The sequence below is a fragment of the Homo sapiens genome, chromosome 14 (genome assembly GCF_000001405.40).
Source record: "Homo sapiens chromosome 14, GRCh38.p14 Primary Assembly".
Classification (NCBI taxonomy): domain Eukaryota; kingdom Metazoa; phylum Chordata; class Mammalia; order Primates; family Hominidae; genus Homo; species Homo sapiens.
The window spans coordinates 72,759,113-72,771,205 of record NC_000014.9 but is presented as its reverse complement, the minus strand read 5'-3'; the positions used below and the strand labels follow the sequence as shown (position 1 = coordinate 72,771,205).

At 36.2% G+C, this 12,093-nt stretch overlaps 1 protein-coding gene across 4 annotated transcripts in view; it reads left to right on the top strand.

Moving 5' to 3' along the window:
• Nucleotides 1–12,093, top strand: part of DPF3 (double PHD fingers 3) — a 285,068-nt gene that overhangs the window by 122,896 nt on the left and 150,079 nt on the right. The gene's annotated exons all lie outside the window — the stretch shown is intronic.

The window sequence follows — 12,093 nt, the reverse complement described above, 5'->3', positions numbered from 1 at the left end:
GCTGGGTATTATTATTATTATTGTTATTTTTTTTTTTTTGAGATGGACTCTTGCTGTGTTGCCCAGGCTGGAGTGCAGTGGTGCGATCTCGACTCACCGCCTCCCGGGTTCAAGTGATTCTCATGCTTCAGCCTCCTGAGTCGCTGGGATTACAGGCGTGCGCCACCACACCCAGCTAGTTTTTGTATTTTTAGTAGAGACGGGGTTTCACCATGTTGGTCAGGCTGTCTCGAACTCCTGATCTCATGATCTGCCTGCCTGGGCCTCCCATAGTGCTGGGATTACAGGCGTGAGCCACTGCACCTGGCCTATTATTATTGATATTACTGTTATTACTACAGCTACAGTGACACTAGTCTTCTAGGCTGCAAAGAACAGAATAAAGACCTTTTTATTAGGGAGACAGCTACAGGAATGTGATTTTTCTGGCTCTGCCTGGATATGTTTTTAAAAATGTTTCATTTGGAAAAATTTCACCTTCATATAAAACTGAAGACAATAGTAAAACACATCCCCATGTAGCCCTGCTTCAACAATGTTCAACTCATGGTCAATCGTGTTTCATCTATACGCACTCCTTACTTTTCTCCCTGACCTCATTTTATTTTGAAGCAAATCCACAAAAGCACGTGATTTCATCTGTAAATATTTTGTTATGTATCTCTAAATGGTAAAGAACTTAAACAAACAAACACACTCACAATCACTATCAGAGCTCAAATAATTAGCAATAAGACTTTAATATCATCAAATATTTGGCCAACATTCATTTTTCCCCCTGTAGTTTAAATCAGGATCCAAATGGGAACCCTACATTGCAACTGGTTAATGTGTCTTTTAACATCTCTGGGTTTCTCTCTGTCTCTGCCTCTCTCTCTTTCCTCCTTGCATGTTACTTGTTGAAGACACTGGGTTGCTTACGCTGTAGGGTTTCCCAGAAGGATTTGGTTGCGTTCCCATGGTGTTATTACTGTGAATTGGTAGTTAGGTCTAGAGATTTATTCAGGTTCCATTTTTTTTTGGTAAGAACAACTCCTGAGTGGTAGTGTGTACTTTCATCAAGAGGCTCATACAGTCTGGTTACCTCTTTTACTGATGTTAGCAGCCCTTCATGATAATTGCCTAGATTCTTTATCCCATTAAGGGTTGCAAAAAGTTAATATTCAATCCAGGACTATCATTATATCTTCATTTGTTAGCTCTACAACTTCTATAAAGAAAAACATTCCCTCATTAAAATTTTAGTTATTGTGAGATACAGTTCACATATGAAAGGCAGGATAAATGACTTTTTTCCCCTCTATTTACCAGTTTTCAAAATAATGAGTTGGTTCCCTAGCATTCTCCAAAGACGATCAATATAATAATAATTATTTTTTTGAATACCACCAGGAACTCACAGATTTAAACATATTTGATGTATTTTAATCCAGTGTAGCTATTATTCTTATGAGGCTTATCTTGCCTCATCTCTGGCCATTCAGGATTCTGGCCAGTGCTGATGTGTTTTTTTTTTTTTTTTTTTTTGAGATGGAGTCTCACTCAGTAGCCAGGCTGGAGTGCAGTGGCATGATCTCGGCTCACTGCAACCTCTGCCTCCCGGGTTCAAGCGATTCTCCTGCCTCAGCCTCCCGAGTAGCTGGGACTACAGGCACATGCCACCACACCCAGCTAATTTTTGTATTTTTAGCAGAGATGGGGTTTCACCATGTTGGCCAGGATTGTCTTGATCTCTTGACCTCATGATCCGCCTGCCTCGGCCTCCCAAAGTTCTGGGATTACAGGCGTAAGCCACCGTGCCCGGCCCAGTGCTGGTGTTTTGAAACAACCCCAGTAGTTTCTGATGGCCTTCTTGCCATCCTAATATTAGGATGAAATATTTCAAGCTCATCCTGTACACTTCCTCCTCTCCAGGACTGAAATCAGCTATTTCTTGAAGAAATCCTGGCTCCTGTTTGTAGGAAAAGTTACTTAGAGACCGCAGTGCTGTTCATTGCTCCTGGCTTGGTCATTGTTTCTAGGCCTTATCAGTGACTAGAACTAAGAAATAGTATTCATTTGTTTTTTTCTTTTTCTTTTTAAGAGAAAATACATTATGAAATTATGTTGATACATCCCATTCAATTTAGATTTAAACAGTTTTTACTTAAGTATCTTAATTCTGTATCTCCTTTCTCCTACACCAAAAAATCCTAGAAATGATATTGATGTAATTACTTATTTGCTTTATTTTACACACACACACACACACACACACACACACACACACACAGACACTCACACACAGTATCAGAACAAACAATATGACTATTAACAATAAGATTACTGAAAAAGGTTTAAGATATTTTCTTTTTTTTGCAAGTCTTTTTGTCCTTAGGGTATATTCCATTAAACATGTGCAGCCAAATTACTCTCCTTTAAGGTCACTGAGATAGTTCCTCTGTGTGATTGTGCCACTAACTCAATACACAGTTGGATTTATTTGTTTCATTTTGCTTTCACTTATCAGGGTTTGCTTTTTGAGTGGGGAGGGGATTCATATAATTTCTTCTTTATTAAATCAACTTTTATCTTGAAATAATTAATAATTGCAATTGTGACTGTATTTGCAATTTGCAGTTGCAAATATAATAGAGATCCCCTATCTTCTTCATCCAATTTCCTCCAAGATTAATACATCTTACAATATCAAAACCAAAAAACTGACATTGGTAAAATGTGTATATGTAGCTTTATGCCATTTTATCACATGTCTAGATTTGTGTAACCACTTCTACAATCAAGATACAAAACTATTCTATTACCACCCAACACTCATTATTTAAATCCTTTTACCCTCCTCCCTTTATAATATAGTTGTCTTAAGCATTTCCTTTACATACATTGAAAACCATACCAGTGTTATAATTTTTACTTCAACCATCAAACATAATTTAGAAAACGTAAGAGAAGCGTTTATTGTATTTACTCATATTTTTACTCCTTCGTTGTTTTTCTTACTTACTGAAGTTCCAAGATTCCTTCTTTTAGCATTTACTTTCTGATGTAGTACTTTCTTTAGCCATTCTTTTAGAGTAAATCTGATGGTAACAACTTCTTAGTTTTCCTTCAGTGGAGAATGTCTTGATTTTGCCATCATTCCTGGAGGATATTTTTGCTGGATATAAAATTCTGAGTTGATAGTCCTTTTATTTTAGCAGTTGAAAAAGGTTTTGCCACTTCTTTCTGATGGTTAGTGATGAGAAATCTGCTGTCATTTAAATGCTTTTTTCCCTTATAAGTAAGGTGTCATTTCTCTCTCATTGTTTTCAAGTTTTTTCTTTGTTTTTAGTTTCAGAAACGTGATTTTGATGTGTTTTGCCATAGATTTTTTGGGTTTATTCTGTTTGAGTTTACTCAGCTTCTTCAACCTGTGGGTTTATGGGGTTTTTTTTTTTTTTTTTTTGCCAAATTTGGGAATTTTTCAGCCATTATTTCTTTGAATACTTCTTCAGTTCAACCCTCTTTCCCCTCTCCTTCTCGGACTTCAACAACACAAATGTTAGATCTTTTGTTATAGTCCCATAAGTCCCTGAGGCTGTGTTCATTTATTTTTAAAATTCTTCTCTCTGTTGCTCAGCTTGGGTGATTTCTATAGTTCTCTCTTCAAGTTCATTGCTTCTTTATTCTGTCCTCTGCCTTCTGCTGTTAAGCCAATCCATTGAGAGCTTTTTTATTTTTTGTTACAATTTTTTTCAGTTTTCAAATTTCTATTTGGTTCTTCATATTTTCTATTTCTTTGCTGAATGTGTTTTATGTGTTCATAATTGCTCGTTGAAACACTTTTAATGATGGCTGCTTTAAGATCCTTGTCAGATAATTCTAACATTTTTGTTATTTTCTTGTTGGTGTCTGTGTCTTTCCTCATTTGAGATTTTCCTGGTTCTTCATAAGATGAGTGGCTTTGACTGAATCTTGGACATTTTGGCTGTTATGTTATGAGACGCTAGATATTATTTAAATCTTCTATATTAGCAGGTCTCCTTTCAAGCTATGCTAGTAGGGGAGGCGAGGCTCCCCTTATTACTGTCAGATGGATGTGGAAATCCATCTTCTCTACTTGGCTTCTGTTGACATCCTCTTTAACAGGGGAAGAACACCTTGTTGTTGCTGAGTGGAGGTGGGAGTTCAGGCTCCCCACTAGGCCTCTACTGGTATTATCCTACTTGGGAGGAGGAGGGCCTCTACTGATACCACAAGGCACCAGCTCTTCCCTTGGCCTTCTCTGACACCAACCCAGCAAAGCTATTGGGATGCCTGCTTGTCTTGCTAGGCTGGTCCTTTCCTGGTTCTCTGGCTAGAGAGAGCAGGATTTTCTTGAGGTCTTTTTTGGTCTTCATTTGTTGGTGTTTCTGGGTTATCAGCTTTTCCAGAATCCAGTCCAGGATATATGAGGCATAAAGGAGACCCAAGATCGGGCTGGACACAGGCTCATGCCTGTAATCCCAGCACTTTGGGAGGCCAAAGGAGGAGGATTGCTTGAGCCCAGGAGTTCGAAACTAGCCTAAGCAACATAGTGAGACCTTGTCTCTATAAAAATTTAAAAAATTATCCAGGTGTGTTGGTGCGTGCCTGTAGTCCCAGCTACTTGGGAGGCTGAGGTGGGAGGATTGCTCAAGCACAGGAGTTTGAGGCTGCAGTGAGCCAGGATTGCGCCATTGCACTCCAGCCCAGGCTACAGAGTGATACTTTGTCTCAATAAATAGCTAGCTAGCTAGATAGTTAGATAGCTAGATAGATAGGTAGATAGATAAAATAATACCCAGGGAGCTCACCACCCACCCTGTTGTTTCTCAGGTCCCAAAGTCCCTAGCTGGTCTGACTGGTTCCCTTCATCTTTCAGTTATTTCTTATGTCTGTTCTATGAATAATGTCCAGGATATTTAGTTGTGCTTAGTGAGAGGAATATAAAAAAGTGTATCTATTTCATCTTTCCAGAAGCAGAAGTCCCTGAGATTGCCTTGTTATTAAAAAAGTTTAACAGCTTTATTGAAGTATAATTACATACAATAAATTGCACATACTTAATGTGTCCAGCTTGATAAGTTTTGACATATATTCACCTGTGGAACCATTACCACAATCAAGATAATGAACATATCCATGACTCGCAAAGGTTTCCTATGTGTTTAGAAATCTATCCTTCCTGCGCTTCTCCATGCCTCTACCCTTCTTTACTCCCTCCCCAGAGAAGCCATTGATTTGCTTTCTATACCAGAAACACACACTGTATACTCCCTTTTGTTTTTTTTTGAGATGGAGTCTCGCCTTGTTGCCCAGGCTGGAGTGCAGTGGCGCAATCTCTGCTCACTGCAAGCTCCGCCTCCTGGGTTCACGCCATTCTCCTGCCTCAGCCTCCCCGGCTAATTATTTTTGTATTTTTAGTAGAGATGGGGTTTCACCGTGTTAGCCAGGATGGTCTCGATCTCCTGACCTCGTGATCCACCCGCCTCGGCCTCCCAAAGTTCTGGGATTACAGGCGTGAGCCACCGCACCCGGCCTGTGTACTCCCTTTTTTAGGGACAAGGGCATGTCTGGCTTCTTTCACTTAGCATAATTACTAATTAATACTATATCAATAATTCCTTTTTATGCTGAGTAGTAGTCCATTGCATGGCTGTATCACAGTTAATTTATCCATTCACCTGTTGATGGACATTTGGATTTGTTTGCAGTCTTTGACTACTATAAATCAAGCCACTATGAACATTTGTGTACAAGTTTTTGAATGGACATATGCTTTCCTTTCTCCTTGAGAGGTTAACTACCTAGGAGTAGAACAACTAGATCATAAGAGAGATAGATGTTTCACTATTAAAGAAACTGCCAAGCTCTTTTCCAAAGTGGTTGTACCATTTTACATTGACTCCAGCAATATATGAGAGTTCCACTTCCTTTGTATCCTTGCCAACACTTGGTGTGGTCAGTTTGAAAATTTTTTTAGCCATTCTAATAGATATATAGTAGTATTTCATTGCAGTTTCAACTTGCATTCCCCTAGTTAATAATGATTTTGAGCATCTTCACATGTGCTTATTTGCCATCTGTGAGGGAAAATAAACTGTTTTATTCTCTATACTTTTACTCAATATTTCTGTGAGCAGATGTGTGGATGTCTTTTCCCCTACACCAAGCAATTCTCCAATTCCCTGCGGACACCAACTGGGTGTTCCACAGTTTAACTCAACTTTGACACTATCTACTGTGAGATATCGTCAGATTCCACAGACTAAGGGCTCAGCCCACAGCACTGCCTCAACTTCATATGCCAATTTCAAGTCCAGGTTGTCAGCTGTGCTTCTGACCTATGGGCTATAAATGGAGGTTTCCATGACTGCCCCTCATGTTTGATCATTTGCTGGAACTCAGGAAAACAGGCCGGGCGCGGTGGCTCACGCCTGTAATCCCAGCACTTTGGGAGGCTGAGGCGGGTGGATCATGAGGTCAGAAGATCGAGACCATCCTGGCTAACACGGTGAAACCCCATCTCTACTAAAAAATACAACAAAAAAAATAAGCTGGGCGTGGTGGGCGCCTGTAGTCCCAGCTACTCAGGAGGCTGAGGCAGGAGAATGGCGTGAACCCGGGAGGCGGAGCTTGCAGTGAGCCGAGTTCGTGCCACTGCACTCCAGCCTGGGCGACATTCCGCCTCAAAAAAAAAAAAAAAAAAAAAAAAAAAAAACAACTCAGGAAAATAGTTTGCATACTAGAATGCCAGTTTATTACGAAGGACATGTATCTGAAACAGCCAAATGGAAGAGGTACACGGGGCAAGGTAAGGGGAAAAGAGACATGAAGCTTCCATGCCTTCTCCAGGTGAGCCACCCTCCCAGCACCCCCACATGTTCATCAACCCAAAGATCTCTGAATCTAGTCCATTTGGATTTTCATGGAAGCTTCATTATGTAGGAATGGTTGATTAAATCATTGGCCATTAGTGACTAGCTCAACTACTAGTGCCTCTTTTCTTCCTGGAGGTCAGAGGTGGGAAGTTAGAGTTGGGGCTAAAAGGTACAGCCTGCTAATCTTGTGGTTGGCTCCGCTGTTTATAATCCCTTATCCAGAGGCTATCCAGCAGGTCCCAGCCAGGGTCATCTCATTAGCATATAAAAAGACACATCACTTGGAGATGCCAGGGGTTTTAGGAACTGTGTGCCAGGAAGTGGGGATTAAGACCAAAATATACATTTCTCATTATATCACAATATTACACCATCCATATATGTTCTTTGGTAAAGTTCAAATCTTTTGTCCATTTTAAAATTGAGCTATTTGCTTATTATTGAATTTTGATTGTTCTTTATATATTCTAGATACAATAAGTTTATCAGACCTATGCTTTGCAAATTTTTTTTTACAATCTGTGGTTTGTATTTTCATTAACTTAGCAGTCTCATTCAAAGAGCAGAAGTTTTCAATTTTGGTGAAATCCAGTTTATCAATTTATTCTTTCATGAATTGTGCTTTTGATGTTATGTCTGAGAAATTACTACCTAATGCAAGGTCAGGGTTTCTCTTATTTTTTTTTCCTAAAATTTTATAATTTTAGGTTTCACATTTAGGTCTATGATTCATTTTGAGTTAATTTTGTATATGGTACAAAGTATGCATTAGTTTATTTTCTTGCAGATGGATATTCAATTGTTTCAACATAGTTTGCTGAAAAGACTCGTCTTTCTCCACTTAATTGGCTTGTCAAAAATTAGATGTCCACATATATGTGTGTTTATTTCTGGACTCTCAGTTCTGTTTTATTGACCTATTTGTCTATCTTTATACTCTTACCACACTGTCTTGATTATTATAGTTTTATAATGTTTGAAATCAGGTGGTGTTAGCCCTCTAAATTTGTTCTTGATTTTCTTAGTTATTTTGATTATTCTAGGTCTTTTGCACTTCTATATGGATTTTATAATCAGTCTGTCAATTTCTACAAAAAACTGGCTAGGAGTTTGGTTGGGATTGTCTTGCATCTATAGATCCATTTGGGGAAAATTGACAATTTTCAGTATTGAGTCTTGCAACCCATGAATATGGCATATCTTTCAATTTATTAATATCTTCTTTAATTTTTCTCATCAATGATTTTTAATTTTTAGTGTATAGATCTTTAACATTTTTGTCAGATTTGTCTCTAAGCACTTAATACTTTTTGATACTATTATAAATAAATTTTTATACATTTTAATTTCTGATGTTTGCTAATATATAGAAAAACAATTAATTTAGTATATTCTTCCTATATCCTGCAACCTTGCTAAACTCATTAGTTCTAATAGCTTTCTATAGATTCTGTAGCATTTTCTATATAGTTGATTATCTGTTAGTTTGCTAGTAGATAACCTGAATAGTAAATAAAGAAAACTTACTTCTTTCTTTTAATATGAATAACTTTTATTTATTTTATTTGTCTCTTGCACTGGCTAGACTCTCCAACATAATATTAGGTAAAAGTGGTGAGACTGGACACCCTTATGTTGTTCCTGATCTTAAAGAGAAAGCATTTATTTATTTTTTTGTTATTAAGTATGACATTAGCTGTAGAATTTTTTGTAGATATTCTTTATCAGATTGAGGATGCTCCCTTCTATTTCTAGTTTGAGAGTTTTTTTTTTTAAATCACAAATGGATATTTGATTTTGTCATCTGATTTTCTGTGTCTATTGAGATGATCATGTGGTTTTTCTTTTGTTCATGGAAGCTTCATTATGTAGGAATGGTTGATTAAATTTAATATCTTAAGTTTACATTTAACATAATGAGTTACATTGATTGATTTCTGAATGTTAAACCAACATTACATTCCTAGGATAAACCCCACTTTGTTATGCTATTTTATCTTTTTAATGTATTGTTAGATTCATGTTGCTCAAGTTTTATTAGAGTTTTTGCATCTATGTTTATGAGAGATATTAGTCTATAGTTTTCTTGTAATGTCTGTCTGGTTTGGGTGTCAGGGTGATGCTGGTCTCATATAATGAGTTGGGAAGTATTTCTTCATTTTTACTTTTCTGAAACTTTATATAGAATTGGTATTATTTCTTCCATAAATATTTTATAACATTTACCAGTGAATCCATTTGGATCTGGCAGTTTCCTTGAGGTAATGTTTTTAATTATAAATTTAATTTATTTTATAGATATAGGGCTATTTAGGTTATCTATTTCATCTTGAGTAAGCTTTGTTAGTATGTGATTTTGTTTCTTTTATCTACATTCTCCTAATTGGTTGCACAAAGTTGTTCATAATATTGCTGCATTACTCTTTTAATATATGTAGAATCTGTGGTGGCATATTATTTTACTCATTATATTGTTAATTTGAATGTTATTTTTTACCTCATCATTCTGACTAGAGGTTTATCAATTTTATTGATCTTTTCAAATAAATAGCTTTTGGTAGAATTGTTTTTTCTGCTCTGATCTTTATATTTCCTTCTATTTACTTTGGATTTAATTTGCTCTTCTGTTTCTTATTTCTTTTAATTTTTTAATTTTTATGGTACATAGTAGGTTTATCTATTTCTTAAGGTGTAAACAGGTCATTGATTTAAGATATTTCTTTTCTACTACATCATTTTCTGATATAATTTCCCCATAAATACTATGTAAGCCTCATTTAAAAAATTTGATATAGGGTTTTTAGTTTCATTCAGTTCAAAATATTTTTCTGTTTGGTTTCTTCTTTTACTCATGGATTATTTAGAACTGTATTGTTTAGTTTCCAAACACTTGGGACGTTTCCAAAGTTGTGCCCATTATTTATTTCCATGTTAATTCCAAATGGTCAGAGAATAATTTTTATGGTTCAAATTCTTTTAAATTTATTGCAACTTGTTTTATGGCACCAAATGTGGTCTACCTTGGTAAATATTCTGTTTGCTCAGGAAAAGAATTGTGTTTTGCTGTTGTTGTTTGGAATGTTCTATAAATATCAATTAGGTCAAATTGGTTGATAATGTTTTTTAAATCTTCTACATCCTTATTTTCTATTTATTCTATGAATCATTGAGAGGTAGGGTATTGAAACTTATGACTATAATTGTGGGTTTGCTTATTTCTCCTTACAATTCTATTACTTTTTGTTTCATGTATATTGAAGCTTTGTTATTAGGTGTATAAACATTTAGTATTGTTATATCCTCAATAAATTGATTCCTTTATCATTATAAAATAATCCTCTTAATCTCTATTAATATTATTTTATCTGAAATCTCCTTTGTCTAATTCCAATATAGCCACTCCAGCTCTCTTTTGATTAATATTAACATGAAATATCTTTTTCCATTCTTTTACTTCTTGCCTATTTGCATCTTTATATTAAAAGTAGTTTTTTAATAGGCAGCATATAGTTGTGTTATGCTTTTTACATGTAATCTGACAATCTTTTTTAAGTAGGGGTATTTAGGCAATTTACATTTAATGTGATTATGTTTTCTCTCTTTTTTGTTGGTTTATTAACTATAACTCTTGTTTTGTTGTTATTTTAGTGATTGCTTAGTGTTTATAGTGTACATCTTTAATTATAGTTAACTTTCAAATTATATTATTCTATTTCATGAATAGTATAAGGAGTCTACAATAGTACTGTGATTAATAGAATAAGGCCCCTCCTCACCTCAGACATCCACATTTTAATTACTGAAATCTGTGCGTATGTTACCTTACATGGCAAAAGGGACTTCGAAGACAGGATTAAGGATTTTGAGATGGTGCGATAATCTTGGATTATCCAGGTGGGCCTAATGTAATCACAAGGGTTCTTATAAAAGGAAGGCAGGAGGAGTTCAGAGTCAGAGTAGATGTGTTGATGGATTACAGGCATGCGCCACCATGCCTGGCTAATTTTTGTATTTTTAGTCGAGATGGGGTTTCTCCATGTCGGTCAGGCGGTTCTCGAACTCCCGACCTCAGGTGATGTGCCTGCCTTGGCCTCCCAAATTGTTGGGATTACAGGTATGAGCCACCGCGCCCGGCCATCATTGTATTTTTAAAAATAGTTGATCATCTTTTAATGAGTTTAAAATAATAAGAAAAACATCTCGTATAATTATTCATGTACTAGACCATTTCTGATGCTGTTCATTCCTTTGTGTAGATCCAAATTTAGGTCTGGTATTACTTTCCTTCTGCCTAAAGTACTTCTTTTTAACATTTCTTAGAGTGTGGGTTTGTTGATGATGAATTATTTCAGCTTTTGTATATCTGAAACTATCTTTAGTTTGCCTTAGTTCTTGAAAGATATTTTAGCTGGGTATAGAATTCTAGTTTGACAAGTTTTTTTTTCCCTTTCAGTATTGTAGGGATGTTGAACCACTCTTTTCTTGCTTGCATTGCAAAGATAAGAATGTTCCTGTATATGTTAACATGTTTCCTTTCTCTGGTTGCTTTTAATATTTTCTCTTTATCACTATTTTTGAGCAGTTTTGATTATGACATACTTTGCTGTAGTTTTCTTAATGTTTATTGTACCTAGCTTTATTGAGCTGCTTAGACCTATGGGTTTATAGTTTTCATCAAATTTCAGAAATTTCCAGCCCTTATTTCTTTTTAAATTCTTTCTTTCTTCCTTCCTTCCTTCCCTTTCTTCCCTCTCTCCCTTCCTCCCTTTCTCTGTCTCTCTCTGTCTCTCTTTCATCTCTCTCTCTCTCTCTCTCTTTTGTGGAGACAGGATCTTACTATGTTGCCCAGGCTGCTCTCAAACTCCCAGGCTTATGGCATTCTTCCACCTTGGCCTCCCAAAGTGTTGGGATTAAAGGCATGAGCCGCTGCACCCAGCCTCCAGCCATTATTTCTACAAATATTTTTTCTTCCCTTTCTTCAATTACACATATATTAGGCTGTTTGAAGTTGCCCCACAGCTCATTTATGCCATTATTTTTTTTTCTTTTCTGTTTTTTCCTGTGGGTTTCATTTTGGAATAGTTTCTATTGCTGTGTTTTCAAGTTTATCTGTCTTTTCTTCTGCAATATCTAATCTGACATTAACTCCCTCTGATATGATTTTCATCTTGCACATTATAGTTTTCATTTCTAGAAGTTAAATTTGAGTCTT